This window comes from Homo sapiens, chromosome 3 (genome assembly GCF_000001405.40).
Source record: "Homo sapiens chromosome 3, GRCh38.p14 Primary Assembly".
Taxonomy (NCBI): domain Eukaryota; kingdom Metazoa; phylum Chordata; class Mammalia; order Primates; family Hominidae; genus Homo; species Homo sapiens.
The window spans coordinates 168,295,840-168,313,087 of NC_000003.12; the positions used below are offsets into that span (position 1 = coordinate 168,295,840).

General features: G+C 36.5%; 1 pseudogene across 1 annotated transcript in view; it reads left to right on the forward strand.

Moving 5' to 3' along the window:
• Positions 1-17,248, forward strand: part of EGFEM1P (EGF like and EMI domain containing 1, pseudogene) — a 581,078-nt pseudogene that overhangs the window by 46,318 nt on the left and 517,512 nt on the right. Inside the window, exon 2 of the transcript NR_021485.2 lies at positions 13,466-13,600. The product of NR_021485.2 is annotated as an EGF like and EMI domain containing 1, pseudogene (transcript). The remainder of the gene's footprint in view (positions 1-13,465; positions 13,601-17,248) is intronic.

Consider the following 17,248-nt stretch of genomic DNA (forward strand, 5'->3'; position numbering starts at 1 on the left):
ATTAAAACATTAAAGGCAGGGTGACTTTAGCATGCCTTTTTAAAATAAGACTTTATGTCAGAGATTTATTTGGGTACACTTTGGTGCCAATTATGTCCAATTAGTAAATTAATGGATCATGTGACACCTAGTCTATAGTTGTACAATTTTTTCTTGGACATTAAGGGTTAATTCCAGCACAGTGTTTTTTTTTTTTTAACTTTTGAATTTTTTTGGATTTACTTCTTAATTGAAGTTGTTTTATTTCTTAATAAAAGTACAACGTGTTTTGAAATATGTATACATTGTGGAATGTTGGTAAACTGGGCTAATCGAGGTATATGTTACCTTAAAGACTTTTCATTTTTTGGGTGTGGTGAGAACACTTAAAATCTACCATAATATTTTTTAAGAATATAATACACTGTTTTTTACTATAGTTACCTTGTTGTACAATAGATCTCTTGAACTTATTCCTCCTATCTAAATAAAATTTTGTATCCTTTGACCAACATCTTCCGATCCCCACCCCCAATCCTTTAACCCCTGGTAACCATCATTCTCCTCTCTACTATGAGTTCAATTGTTTACATTCCACATGTAAATGAAATCATGCAGCATTTGTCTTTCTGTGCCTGGCTTATTTCACTTATTTCCAGGTTTATCTATGTTGTCACAGGTGACAGGATTTTCTTCTTTTTTAAGGCTAAGTAATATTTAGTAATATTTCATTGTGTATATATACTAGATTTTCTTTATCCATTTATCCACTGATGGACATATAGGTTGATTCCATATCTTGGCTATTATGAATAATGCTGCAATAAACATGGATGTATAAATATTTTTTGAAATCCTACTTTTAGTCTTTTGTTTTTTTTTTTAAGTTTTTTTTTTCTTTTATTATTATACTTTAAGTTTTAGGGTACATGTGCACATTATGCAGGTTAGTTACATATGTATACATGTGCCATGCTGGTGCGCTGCACCCACTAACTTGTCATCTAGCATTAGGTATATCTCCCAATGCTATCCCTCCCTCCTCCCCCCACCCCACAACAGTCCCCAGAATGTGATGTTCCCCTTCCTGTGTCCATGTGATCTCATTGTTCAATTCCCACCTATGAGTGAGAATATGCGGTGTTTGGTTTTTTGTTCTTGCGATAGTTTACTGAGAATGATGATTTCCAATTTCATCCATGTCCCTACAAAGGACATGAACTCATCATTTTTTATGGCTGCATATTATTCCATGGTGTATCTGTGCCACATTTTCTTAATCCAGTCTATCATTGTTGGACATTTGGGTTGGTTCGAAGTCTTTGCTATGAAATCCTACTTTTAGTACTTTTGGATATACATCCAGAAGTGAAATTGCGGCTTATATGTTGATTTTATATTTAACTTTTTGAGGAACCTCTAGACTTTTTCCATATAGGCTATACTAAATTACATTGCTAGCAACAGTGTGCAAGAGTACCTTTTCTCCACATCCTCTCCAACACTTTAAAAACCTTTCATCTTCTTGATAGTAGCCATTCTAATAGGAATGAGGTGCTATCTCATTGTGGCTTTAATTTGCATTTCTCTCATGATTAGTGATATTGACAATTTTTTCATGTACCTGTTAGCCATTTATATGTCTTCTTTTGAGAAGTGTTTATTCAGATCACTTGCCCATTTTTAAACTGATTTGTTTTCTACTGTTGAGTTGTTAGAGTTCCTCATGTTTTGGATATTAACCCCTTATCACGTGCGGTTTGCAAATATTTTCTCCCATCCTGTAGGTTTTCTTTTCGGTCTGTTGATTGTTTCTTTAGTTGTCCAGAAACTTTTTAGTTTGATGTAATTTCATTTATCTATGCTTGGCTTTTGTTGCCTGGGCTTTTGGGTTCATCCAAGAAATCATTGCCTAGATCAATGTCACGGAGCTTTTCCCTTATGTTTTCTTATAGTAGTTTTACGGTTTCAGATTTTACATTTGAGTATTAAAGTTTTTGAGTTAATTTTTGTTTCTTGTCTGATATAAGAGTCTAATTTGAGTCTTAAAGTTTTTGAGTTAATTTTTGTTTCTGGTCTGTTATAAGAGTCTAATTTTATTCTTCTACATGTGGATATCCAGCTTTTCCAACACCATTTATCAAAGAGACAGTCTTTTCCTCATTATGTGTTCTTGGCATCTTTGTCAAAAATAAATTGACTGTAAATGCTTGGATTTATCTCTGGGTTCTCTGTTTTGTTCATTGGTCTATGTATCTGTTTTTAGTCTAGTAGCATCATGTTTTAATTATTATAGCTTTGAAGTATGTCTTGAAGTCAGGTAGTGTGATGCTTCTGGCTTTGTTCTTTTTGCTCAAGATTGCTTTGGCTATTCAGGGTCTTTTGTGGTTCCATAGAAATTTTGCAATTTTTTTTCTGTTTCTGTGAAACATGTTATTGGAATTTTGATAGGGATTGCATCAAATGTGCAGATTGCTTTGGATAGTATGGTTGTTTTGACAATACTAACTCTTCCTATCCATGAGCACATTATATCTTTCTACTTATTTGTGTCTTCCTCATTTTTTTCATCAATGTTTTATGGTTTTCAGTGTACAGGACTTTCATCTCTGGGGTAAAGTAAATCCTAGTTTTATGGAGCCCAAGTCTTATAAAATCTGATAGGGGGAGACCTCTTAAATAGTAAAATATATCTTATATTTTCAAATTTTACAAAACTTATGTTAATATGAAAATAATATTTCCTTGTATTCTAGGCCCCTAATATAATTGCTTATACATTGTAGATGTCTCAGAAAGAATTGTGAATTAATTAATAAGTTCTTCATCAAAGTATCTTCAAAGCAGTGTGATTTCCATTATTTTTCTTTTCCTTTCTTTTGTTTCTTACAAAACTGCCACCTGGGCTGGAGTACAGTGGCACAATTTTGGCTCACTGCAGCCTCAATCTCCTGGGCTCGAGCAATGGCTGGGACTACAGGTGGACTCTACCAGGCCCAGCTAATTTTTAATTTCTTGTAGAGATAGAGTTTCCCTATGTTGCCCAGGCTGCCCTCAAACTCCTGGCCTCAAGTGATCTTCTCACTTTGGCCTCCCAATATGCTGAGATTATGGGTGTGAGCCACCATGCCTGGCTGATTTCCATTGTTTCTGAGCTACTTGGTGTCATTATCTATGACTTGATATTGAACATACATTAGCACTATAAAAACACAGAAACCAAATCAACCAGTGTTTTCCGTTGTAAAACAATAACATATTCATAAGAGACTTCCTATGATAAGCTAAAGAGATGAACAGTAAAGACAAAATGATGATGAATGGCTTAGGCCAAATAGATGTTAGCCAGACAGATCTGACAAATGGCACACAAGGCTGCTTAGGTTAGAATTCTGTAAAAACCGTTATTCTATCTTCTAATTTTTAGAGGATAGAGGGCTGGAAGGTTTTGAATGGTGGATAATTTCTGGTAGTGAAGTCCTCAAATCAGAAAGATATTATGGAGCTTTGGGAGGTCAGGTGATGGTGGACTAAGAAGCAGGAGAACCATCTGCTGCAGTCTGATCCTGGAGCATGGTCTGAGTGGTCAGAGTTATTTGTCTCCTTTGCTCTCGAGTATATGTGGGCAGGGGAAGACTCACAAGTGTTTCTGCTTTGAGATGGCAATAAAAAGCAAGTGAAGAATAAATAGTTGCTGCTACCTCTTGATTAAGATCAGTGCAGTGCCTTAGGTCTTCTCAGAGATCCTGAAAGAAAATATAATAAAAGAGATAATTAAGGAGGTGGGCAAAGCAATTTAAAGATATTCACAAACACTAAAAATGTTTTTCTTATGGTTTGATTTGGAATTGTGAGGTGATCATTTAAAAGAAAAGAGGGGTACGGTATTAGCCCATTGTATCCTTGATCAATATAGACCACCCATTCCTTTTAGTTTCTGCATCATAGCTAATAGATTGCCCAGGGAAAACAAAGTATCATTTATAATTGTTATTTGAATATTTTATGTAAAACCTAATCTGAAGACTTAGAGAAATCATTGTAGATTAAGATAAGAAATAAAGATTTGCATTTATGAGAAATTAATGATAGTTCTGAAATTGAAGAACCATTTAGTTCTGGGAGAAATAAATACAAATTATAACATCTAGCTGATGGAATTTTGTTTAGATTGCTTCTGGTGATAAACCATCTATAATAATATAAATCAAGCCCTGGTGTTTGCCATAAATTTGCAATGTTTAGCATAATTTTTGTTTGCATTTCATACTAAAGTGACACCAAGAAATATGAGATTAATAGTTATTAAGTGAAAATGACTTTCATGTCTGTAGTCATTTTTAGAAACAGTTATGTGTAATTCATTTAGGGACCAGAAAAAATTAATTTGCAGTTGTGGTGGGATCTAGCACATTAGAACAAAGAGGGAAGTCGCATATAGGAATAAACTTTTGAAACATAAGGGTGGATTCATTTTTAACCCTGAATTTTGATTTAATACCTCAAGGTACCCTTCAGATCATCACACTTTTGTTTGTTGACTGTAGAATACTAATAGCTTAAGGAACAGAGAAGTTGTTACCTGTTCTCAAATTATGTCATAATCCTGGAGAGTAGAAGCTTATCCATACCTGAGGGGACAGAGGGTCAGATAGCTGCCACTGCAGTATAGTGTCTTTTATTAATTTTAATTAGTGTTTTCATTAGGAAGTGTCATATTAGTTTCTGATTTCTAAAAAGGACACATTATTTACTTTCATTTGTTTCACTGCACTATAAATCCGCAGTGGTGTAGAAGTTAAATTCTATAGAATTTTTGTTTTGTTTTTTTTTTGTTTTTTTTTTTAGAAACCTAGCCTCAGACCTTATGAGTTTAAAAAATATAGTTAATATTTCCTAAGCATTTATTAAGTGCTAGCTGTGTGCTAAATGCTTTATATATGTTCAGTTATTTGTGTTATGTTCATTACTAGAGCCCTTTTCAGGCAAAGTCATACATTCATTTATTCAGGTGTTATTTACTGAATACCCTCTCTGTGCTAGATGTGGGAAGCATTAATGTTTTAGAGGAGGTTGGAGGAAAAAGATGATATTTAAGAGTTTATAAAAAGGACATCAGGACTTTTGGTCAATATGATATTGTAAGTTCATATTTTGAGGCTTTACTGCTCAAAATACCTATTAAAGACGGATAAAGTATTTTTAAAACATAATAAAACCACATTATTGTGTGAAAATTTAAAATTAGACCTTTAGTTGAACCGAAAATATTCAGAAATGCCAAGCAGTGGTGAGTTGGGATGTGTGTGGGCTTGCTAAGTGCTGGGTCTGGAAGCAGAGGAGGCTTTGATTTAAATGGTGAGGCTTGACGTGTTGGAGAAGCATAATAGTGCCTTAAAACCAAACTCATGGCTGGTTACAGTAGCTCATGCCTGTAATCCCAGCACTTTGGGAGGCTGACACAGGTGGATTGATTAAGCCCAGAAGTCTGAGATCGGCCTGGGCAACATGGCAAAACCCTACCTCTACAAAAAATACAAAAATTAGCCGGGTGTGGTGGTGTGCACCTGTAGTCCCAGCTACATGGGAAGCTGAGGTGGGAGGATCTCTTGAGCCTGGCTTGTTGAGGCTGGTGTGAACCGTGATCATACCACTGCACTCCAGCCTGGGAGCGCTGACAGCATGAGACCCTGTCTCAAAAACAAACATGCAAACAAACAAAAAAACCCAAACTCACACCATGAAACTAGAAACTGTCCCTTCCTACCCATCTCAGCTTCCCTTCAACTGGTGCTTGGGACACTGAATTCCAGGAAGCTGACACCTGGTTCTGGATTGGGCACTCCACACGCCAAGTGGAGGGAACTATACGTCAACTAGTGATACTGGCTTAGAAGAAGTCTCATTGTGCTGGGATATAACATGGAACTGTTTATTTTTTTTCTTCCATCCTTACAACATATCACTAATAGATTCCAAAGTTTTTCAGTCACATAAACTTACTAACTTATTTTAGCATAGTTTAAAACTTATATTTTCAAAATCTGGCTTTTTTTTTCTGCCATCACACACTAGAACTAGAGCCCTGGTAGCTGGAAGGAATCAGTAAGACTGAGGGCACAGGCTGGTTGTGGTCTGGTTCCAAGATGCCCCCTTTTTCTCTTATTTCCTCTAACAGCCCTAGCTGCTTCTGGGTTGAGATAGGTAGGGAAGAAGGTGAAGGACACTAATTTTGTTAGTGATGGAAATGGTGCCTGATGTTGCTTGGATTCGGTCTGGTTTTGTCTGAAGTTGTTGCCCTTTATCTTAGGTGCTGTGCCAGGTTTCTTGGGGTAAGTATTTGCCTCAACTCAGTCTGTCTCTGAGGATCATCACAGAGAGGGGAAGTCCACTCTCCATTTGACTCCTGCCAGTGGTCCACATGCCTAACACTTCTTTGGTTGGATCTGTGATTGCTTGATCTAGCAGCCCTGTGGCTCAAGGTCAACATATTTATTCCCTCTCCTCCTTTCCCAAGTCTTTTATTTTAAAGGGAGAAAGAATTAAGGAGAAATGGATGTTGATAGTAGTAAGGCTGGTTTTCCAGTATTTAAAAACATCATGTGGGGAGATGTCTTACAGCTTTTTTTGGTGACTCTCTTTGGAGTGTTTAGTGCCTTTACTTTTTATTTCTAGTCTCTAGACACAATTCAAAGTCAATTGGCCAGGCACAGTGGCTTTGGCAGGGCGTGGTGGCTCACGCCTGTAATATCAGCACTTTGAGAGGCTGAGGTGGGTGGATCACCTGAGGTCAGGAGTTCAAGACCAGCCTGGCCAATGTGGTGAAACCCTGTCTCTACTGAAAATACAAAAATTAGCTGGGCATGATGGCACATGCCTGTAATCCCAGCTACTCAGGAGGCTGAGCCATGATCACTGCTTGAATCCAGGAGGCAGAGGTTGCAGTGAGCCGAGACTGTGTCACTGCACTCTAGCCTGGGCAACAGAGTGAGACTCTGCATCAAAAACAACAACAACAACAACAAAACAACAGCAAAAAAACCGGCCAGGCATGGTGGCTCACGACTGTAATCCCAGCACTTTGAGAGACTGAGGCAGGCAAATCACCTGAGATCAGCAGTTCAAGACCAGGCTGGCCAACGTGGTGAACCTTGTTTCTACTAAAAATAAAAATTAGCCAGGTGTGGTGGTGCACACCTGTAATTCCCGGCTACTTGCTACTTGGGAGGCTGAGGTGGGAGAATCACTTGAACCCAGGGGATAAAGGTTGCAGTGAGCCGAGATTGTGCCACTACACTCCATCCTGGGTGACAGAGCTAGACTCTGTCTCAAAACAAAAAACAAAAAACAAAAAAACCCCAAAAAACAAAAACATAAAACAAACAAACAAAAAAGCACACACACAAACAAACAAGAAAAACAAAGTCAACAAGAAAATATCTCCTGAAAATCCCGTTACACTAGATAGATAAGGAGAGAAAGAGTGAGGAACTTTCCAATCAAGATAGGGCCTGCCAACCAAAATTCAAAACAAATAAAACTAATTCCAAGGAAGGCAGTTATCAAAATCATAGATCAGACTATCAATTCCAGCAGAAATAAAAATATTTAAAATTATTAAAAAATCAAACAAATGTTAAATCCTGAAAGAAATAAATGAAAGGACACACACACACACACACACACACACACACACACATATATATATAAATAAAATAAAATATGAGATGTGTGCATTGTAAGAAAGATGAACAGGGAATTTGGCAAGATAGATTGATGATTTAATTATTGACTGTTAAAAAGTCTCAGTGTGTCATTTGGTAGATGAAACATGCTATATATTTTTTTTTCTTGTTCAAAGGAATAAACCTAATGAATACTCTGTTTTAACACAACTGTCTGACATATACTGGGTATACTGCAATTCAAATCTGACACAAACTACCCTGGCATTAGCACAGATCTAATAGATTAAAGGCACAGTCCTCCACCAGACTGTTCCCACTTCAGGTGACGACTGCAAGTCTCAGGGGGAGCCCAGGCTACCCATGCTTCTGACTAACTGTAAATAAATTTGGTGCTTTTCATGACCTTCTCAAGCTTGAAAATTCTAATAATTTGCCATTATCAATATTTTATTATTACTTGTTATTACTCACAGAATTAAGAAATGCATTATATTTGGGATTATAGTTTTATTGTAAAGGATACACATACTGATGAACAGCCAAATGAAAAGATGTGCAGGGCAAGGTCTGAGTGGAAGACAGAGCTTCTGTGTCCTCTCCTTGTGGAGTCAGGACATGTCATCCTCCCAGCACATCAGTGTGTTTACTAACCAGCAAGCTCCGCTGAGCCTCAGTGTCCAGAGTTTTTACTGGGGTTTCATTACATAGGCAAGATTGGTTGAATCACTGGCCACATGATTGAACACAATCTCTAGTTCCTTTACCCTCCCTGGAGGTCAGGTAGTAAAGTTCTAACCTGCTAATCATATGGTTGGTCTTTCGGGTGAATGGCTCCCATCATCAGGCTATCCAGGGACCACAGGGATATGTCATTAGCGTAACAAACAATTAGTTACCACATTAGCATATCACTCAGGATATTTCAAGGGTTTTAGGAGCCCCATGCCAGGAACATGGGACAAAGACCAAGTTTTTCATTATATCACAATGAATAACTTTCTATTCCATCAAAAAAATAGCATGTATTTAGGTATAAAATACAAAAAAGTAAAATATTAGAAATATAATTTAGAACTCGTCCAAATAACTTCTGGAAAATGGAATATAGAAAATATTTTCCATCAAGTAGACATAAGAAAGAAGAAAAAATACAAACTGCTAGTAAACAGAAACTACAAAATGAGATGATGAAATAGGTACAGTTATACTTGTAATGAAAATGTGTGCAACTCTGTTTACCTATTAAAAGATGGAAGTTAACAAATTAGATTTTTAAAAAATGCAACTATTGACTCAAAAAACTAGCAAGATTTAAGGTAACAGGACCAAATATAACTAAGAAATTCTAACCAAATGAAAGAGGATATAAAAATGTTAATATCAGACAAATAGATTTTATGATAAAACAGTACAAAGTATGTTATAATGCGTTAGCAGAAACATTACATAATGATAAAAGAGCAATTCACCAAGTATATACAATAATCATCAACTTGTAAATCCTTAACAAAATTGCCTCAAAATATGTAAAGAATTAAGTTGCCAGAATTGTAATGAGTAAAGTCCAAAAATAATTAGTGGGAAATTTCAAAATATATATTCCAAAATTTTTCCAATGTATGTATACCGATATATATGTTCCAGCATTTATCAGGATCCAAAACAAGGCAGAGAAAAACATTTGGTAAGTATAAAGACTTATCAACAAAATGTACAAGCTTGAATATGTGTATGTATGTGTACACACAAGTTCACATATCCATGTTCCTATTAAAGAGTACATATTAAGTACACATGTATACAAAAGTTTTAAACACACAACTACATGATTTTTCTGTATATTGAGTGATAGATTTTTTTTATTTTAATTGATTTTGAAGAATCAATATTATCCAGATAATAGTCTTTGACATCTGTGTTACCTAATTAGAAATCAGTAATACCCAGTTTTTCTTTTAACTTTTATTTTAAGTTCAGGGGTATATATGCTTGTTTGTTATACAGGTAAACTTGTGTCATAGGGTTTTGTTGTACACATTATTTCATCACACATATTTAGCCTAGTACCTATTAGTTATTTTTCCTGTTCCTCTCCATCCTTCCCAGCCTCCACCCTCCGATTCCCAGGGATCCCCAGTGTGTGTTTTTCCCTGCTATGTGTCCATGTGTTCTCATCATTTAGCTCCCATTCGTATGTGAGAACATATGGTATTTGGTTTTCTGTTCCTGCATTAGTTTGCTAAGGATAACGGCCTCCAGCTTCAGCCATGTTCCTGCAAAGGACATGATCTCATTCTTTTTTTATGGCTGCATAGTATTCCATGATGTATATGTACCATATTTTCTTTATTCAGTCTATCATTGATGGGCATTTAGGTCGATGCCATGTCTTTGCTATTGTGAATAGTGTTGCAATGAACATACACATGCATGTGTCTTTATAATAGAATGATTTGTATTCCTTTGGGTATATACCCAGTAATGGAATTGCTGGGTCAAATTGTATTTCTGTTTTTAGGTCTTTGAGGAATCACCACACTGTATTCCACAATGGATGAACTAATTAAACTCCCAGCAACAGAATATAAGCATTCCTTTTTCTCTGCAACTTTGCCAGCCTCTGTTTTTTACTTTTTACTAGTAGCCATTTTAACTGGTATGAGATAATAACCTGGTTCTTCTCTGTGTTGGAGGGAAAACTTTCCCTGTATCAACTTAGGTCTGAATAGTTGGGGGCCTTTGAATTAATTGACAACAAACAAATTAATAGGAGAAAAGTTTAACTCATGCATGCAATGGTGGCCTATAGGGAATAGGTCATGGAACAGCTAGGGGTGAGGGTTTATATCCCCTCATAATAAGAGAGGCATTTAGGACTTCAAAGGATAGGAGATTCCGATGAGGGATGTTAACACGAATTCTTTCTGAAATATCCTGGTGCCCAAGGTTTGTTCCCTCCCTGACTGCAGTCTTTTGGGAGTCAGGAAGGGGAGTAAGGGGATGGTGGTATTGTGGCAGCTGAGTCTTGTAAAGCTTTGCTGCAGTTGGTATCAAAGAGAGAGAGGGAGAGTATAATATATCCATTTCCAGATCCTGGCTATAGGAGACGTGTCCAGAAATGAGTACTCTAAAAGTCTCTGTGGCTTCCTATGCACTAAGAATAAGATAAAAACTCCTTGGCCTGGAAGGCCCTTCCTATCACACCAAGCATCTCATCATTCCAGCCACTTTGTCCTTCCTTCAGATCTGCAGGAGGCCAAGCTTTTTTCCCTTTTTAGAACCTCTGCTCATTCTATTCCTTCTGTCTGAGTAGCATCCCTGGCTCTTCCATGGTTGCCTTCTTTTCATCCTTCGGGTCACAGTGTCACCTCTTCACTGGAGACTTTCCTAATTAATGAATCTACGTAAGCTTCTCTTATCTCTATTCTAGCACCTTAATTGCTTCCATCTTAGCATGCCACATTTTATATCTATTTAGGTGTTTTTTTATTTTCTCTCTCTTCTATTTAGATTGTCAAATCAAAGAGAATATGGATTTTCTTTTTTTCTCCTTTTTTCTTAATTATACTTTAAATTCTGGGGTACATGTGCAGAACATGCAGTTTTGTTGCATAGATATACACGTGCCATGGTGGTTTGCTGCACCCATCAACCCATCACCTACATTAGGTATTTCTCCTAATGCTATTCCTCCCCCAGCCCCACACTCCCCGACAGGCCGCAGTGTGTGATGCTTGCCTCCCTGTGTCCATGTGTTCTCATTGTTCATCTCCCACTTATGAGTGAGAACATGCAGTGTTTGATTTTCTGTTCTTGTGTTAGTTCTTTCATTTGTACCACCCGCAGCTGAAACCGTCAGTGCTGCACCCAGGTGCCCTCTCCTTTACTGCTGCACACCTGACAGGCTTCCAGCTCCCAGCATTGCATTTCTTTGCTTGAGGACTTACTTTGGTTTCTGGAAGCTGACTCTCTCTGCTGTGCTTTGGGCCTGAAATACTAGGGAGGAAGTAGCTTTTAACCAATCACTGACAGAAATTAATGTGTAAATGCCCAGGTTCCCTCACCCTCCAACATCTCCAATGTTGGCTGGCTTGATAATGCATCTTTTATTTGCTAATTCTCCTTCTTTGTCTAATTTCATCACTCTCTGACCAGTGTTTTCTGTACCTCCTAAGTAAACAATGTATACTCAAATCACATGTGGGGAAAGCTTCTGGCACAATGCTTTACACACATAGGCATACAGTAAGTATTTGTTGGATGGATAGATGGATGGGTAGGGGTGGATGGATGGATGGATGGATGGTTGGATAGATGAAGATTGCAATGTGGAGTTCAAGGTTGGATATGGTGTAAGAATTCAAATGATTGACAAAACAAAAAACAAACAACAACAACAACAAAAAACCCAAAGATGCTGTTAGCTCTTTCTAATTAATGCTGTTGCCTCACAAAAAAATATAGCACATTGAAGGTGTAGGTATATCAGTTTACAGATAATCTAATATGGAAATTTTAAAAGCTATGGTTTTCTTTAGGACCATTGTACAATGCTTGATGATTTTATGGATGCCTGTCTTATGAGCAGTTTTTACATTCCTTGTTTTATTACAGTACTGTATTTACCTAAAGTATTAAAATGTGCTATGCAAACTCATAAATAAAGTTCAACTTGAACTTCACTTAATTTAGGTGAGGTTAATGGTCCAAACAATCAGCTTTCAGAAATATATCTAGAAGTGAGAATTAGGTTGTGAAATCAGATGGTGAGATTTAGAGGCACAGAAAACAGTGTTAACAAAAAGGGAATGCAGTCACAGAGTGTGATGTAAAAGATATGTAGTGTGAAAAGTACTAAGACGTTTATCGGTATTATTATTGTGTCACTGGACAAGTTCACAGAGCTATTTTGGGGATGACTAGAGCTTCTGAATCAGAGCTCATTTCTGTTTTCAGAAGATTATGAATATGGAGACTATGCCAGACTGTGAGCTTCTTGAAGGCAGGAACATCAAAGTCTGCATCATCTTTTATATTCCTAGCAGGGTCCGTGCATGGCACGTAAGTGATCTTGAATGCAGGAAAAGCATGAGTGGTTGGCCCAACTGGCTATTACAATTAGTGTTGTTTTCACATGTAAAACAATTCATATGAACTAGTAAATCATTCATCACTAAGTAAAGCATTCCTCAAATCACAAAAGATTATTAAAAAAATTGAATTCTGGCATTCCAGGCTATTAGTGTTAGCCTTACTCACTGAAAAATTAAAGATAGTGGGTCTAAATTCCTGTAAATCTGTACAAGCTTTCTGTAAGGAAATATTAATATAATGATGGTGGTGGAAAAATACTTGTGTTTAAACAAGAATTACTCGAGAAACCCAATTAAACATGCAGATTGAAAATATTGTTCAGAATTAATTTCCAGAAAAAATTTAACTTCTCTTGATGAACTGGCTTGCTTTTTCTTCATGAGTACTGAGAATCCTGCAATTTTTTTTTCTTTTAAAATTTTGGCTACCAAAGCACTCAGAACTTAATTTACAACTCAATTTTTCTAACTTTTTGGGAATTTATGATGTTTATATCTATCTTCTAAATTTCTTCTGGTCTTTAAAATTTATTCTGATTTTTCTTTTTCCTGGTCCTGGTGTTGTTTTTGTATTGCTTGTATTTTTCTTTCTTACTTTATGTATTTTTCATGACATGTCAAGCTTTTTGTGGAAAATGGAGAAATCAATGCTCCATATGTAAACGTATATATTTTGATTAGATTGCTATTCTTCTTTTATTCAAGGCCAAGTGTTTGTGAAGAACAGCAAGTGACTGTGGTTGGACTTGCACACCCATGTGTTTGGGCATTCACACACATTGTCAAGCTCTGCAAACAAGGCTGTACTGGCTCAAGTTGGTATGTGAGCTATGAAAGAAGGTAAGAGTGCTTCTGTACTCTTTGATTATTGAAAATCAACACCAAACACCTCAAATGCACCTACATATTCATCCAATAAATTTTATGCTCATTAAGTAAATGTGCATAAGATGTGGCCACCAAGAACATTTAGAGTTATATATTTTTCTTCAGAGACAAGATATATTATTACTTTAGACCTCATTTATGTCTGAGGTATTTTGGGTTAGATGCCACTAATTTTACCTCATGGCATGGTGTACCATTGAAAGCTAAAGATCAGAAAACTGACAGAAACAAGGAATATTGTGTTGGTTTGCTAAATTTAGCACGACTTGGATCCAGGGGATCTACAGTTGTGAACCAATGTCTGACCTGCCCTTGGTACTCTTGTAACACTTTGAAACCTAGAGCTTCTTTAACTTTTTTATGGCCTTTGAATTAGGATTAACTCGGCGGGCTAGAAGAGGAGAGAAAAAGCAAGTGTCCACAATGCTTTCTAGGCGTCAAGGCTTCATGCAGACTTTTTTTTCCCTTCAAAGTTTTGAAATAGTTTTACAAAATATCTAAGAACCTCTTAACACAAATAGTTGATGATGGGTTAAGGATCAAAATTCAGGATACTTAATGTTAAAAAAAGGTGTGGTTTCAGATTGACAAAGAATTTATAATTACTACTATTATTGCTAACACAAAGTTGGGGACATTTATAAATAACTGGGTTTGCCATTGTATAAAAATATTGGATCACTAATAATATAGGACTAAATAAAATATAAGACTAAATAATTTATAATTGTGGATGTTTACATATGCATTGTGTGTGTGTGGGGGGGTGTATGTTGAACCTTTAGATGAATAGTTTTTGTTTTTCGTCTAAACTCAGGAATTTTGTGGGGTATTTTTAGAGATAGGGCCTTGCTCTGTTACCCAGGCTGGAGTATGGTGCCATAATCATAGCTCACTGCAGTCTCAAACACCTGGGCTCAAGTGATCCTTCCACCTCAGCTTCCTGAGTAGCCGGGACTAAAGGTGTGTGCCACTGTGCGCAGTTAATTTTTTAATTTTTATTTTTGTAGAGACAGGGGTCTTGCTATATTGTCCAGGCTCATTTCGAACTCCTGGCTTCAGATGATCCTCCCAGCCTTTGCTGGGGTTATAGGTATGAGCAACTACACTAGGCCAACTCAGAACTTTTAATGGTGTTTAAATCAGAAAATTTCCCCTGGCTCTTCACAGCTGTGTGGCCTTAGGCTAAGTTCCTACATTTCTCTGTGTCTTAGTTGTAGTGTTAAAAAAAATGCTGTACATGGCTATTATGAAGATTAATTGATTAAATCTTCATAGATAAGATTTAACACGTGGCACAATGCTTGGTACACAGTAGGTACTCAATATGTGTTAGATAGTATAATGCTGTAGCAGAAAAATTTATTTTCAAAGAAATTAGAATGGAAATCCTATTTATAGGGTATATGACGTGTTCATTAGAGTACTTGTTTTGAAAATGGCTTTTTATTTAGACTTTTTGTACTCCCCCCCATGAGTTTTAATCTTTGTTGGTAATGGACCGAATCAAATAAAATTCATTACCTTATAGATACTTGGGAAAACAAATATAAATTAGTAAAACAGGTTTTATAGTTTTATTCTTAAGAGATTAGTAGTTTTGCACATTCTGTGTATGATACTGAGTTTGGAGTAGAGGCAGTGTTTGAAGATGTTCAGCATCTTTGCCATGCTCATATCTGTTTTGTTTGCATGTAAGTATACAAACTTATACTTAAGTCCTGATTGAAGAGACGCGTGAACAAAATATTAGGTTACAATTCTAGATGGTGAATAATTGTCATAAAAATGGTACAGCCAGTGAGTCCAATTTTTGAGAAAAGAGAAAGAGCAATCTACATTGGCTTGGTAGGAAAAGAGAAGTTAGAGGAAGTGGAACTTGAAATTGACCTTGAATAATGAAAGCAATTTGGACTAGAAATATAGGGGTGGCATATGAAAGGGAGAGAATATGTTAGTACTTTTGGAATAAAAAAAAATTTAAAAATGACATCAACTTGACAGAAAGGAAATCAGCCTGTCTGGAGATATTTGGTATTATGATCTGCTGATAGGTCAGCAAAAATAACTCAGTGTTTTCAAACTTTGGTTTAGTATTCCCCCCTAAAGAGCCTTTTTAAACAATTTTTTTCCCTGAAGCTTCCTTCTGCACCATGAAATTTTAACATTACACATATTCTTTATATCCATTTATGTACTGTGTTCCTTTGTAAGGTCACACACCATTGTATCAACTAAGATTCTTTTCATCCCCCACTCATAACAATAACTAATTGTCACCTTCTTGTGGGTGATATTAATACGGTTGAGAGTGCATGCCGTAGTGGAGCCAACCTATGAGGAGCTTTCAATATCAAATTGAAAAGCATGTACCTCATTATCTTTCAAGATTTCATTATTCTTATCATAATTTTGGGTTTTATTCTTGATAGCTTGAGCAATCCTTAGGATATTTTATACCATGGGATATGGGGGTCCCTCTTGGTTTTCATTAACCTATACCTATAATGAATCTGAATTGCATATGGAGTGAGGTATGTATGTGTGTGTGTGTGTATAATATGTACAAATTATACACTATATGCACATTGGTACATTTATCTATATATACACATACACCTATCTCTCTGTCTATAAACACAAATATATATGGCAGGATTTGAATTGGAGAGAGAAATTTCTAATGGATTTGAGATAGCTCTGCCTTAAGAGGGAGCACTATATCTCCCTAATTTAGATCCCTGTATTTGTTAGGCCCGGTACTACACCATCTATGGACAGGTGTACAACATGGAGCAGCAGCCTGTCTACTGGTGCTGCCCTGTTTGGAACCAGTGGGATGATGAACTGGGATGCCTACACTGTAAATTATAATTCTTCTTGTCTAACTCTGTTACGAGAAGGAATGATTTCACTTTGTTTTTGACTTCAATCATACTTGTCAAGTTTTTCCGCATCTTTAGTATCACTGCAGATTCAGAGCATCTCTTTGAACTGAAAATTCACACATGATGTGCAAAAATGCACAAAAAACTTTTCTGTTAAGTGTTTCTAATGATAGGTCACAACGCAGGACCCATGAAAGTGCTGCTTTATATTCTCTCTTTATTTAAAAGACAGTTGATTTAAAACCAGACAGTTTACACCTTGACTTCCATCTCCTTTTTCTGTTTGCCCCTTTCCCATATCATCAAATTTGTAATCCACAGTTGATTCAAAAGTCTGGAGGGAAATCATCGTACTAAATCTAAATGGGATTTCTCAACTTACGCTTGTCATGATTAATTGCAGAACACTGGAGGCAGTTTACTTTTTAAGATGAGGTATGCAATCCTTTAACAAACCTCTGGTGAGAGTATTTCAGAACCTTTGGAGTGTGTTTGACAGCACTCAAGTAGCAGAACTAGTGGCATTATATAGTTTATTCACACCAGGAGAAATGGTTCAGTTTAGCAAACTCCTTTACCTATATTATGTATTTATGGTTATTGCAAAGTCACTTAAAATGCTTCAGTGTGTTGCAATCAATGCAGCACCACAGCACAACAATTCATCTCTCTTGCTATTCTGTACCTTGGGGAGTTTGTTGGCGTCCTGTTT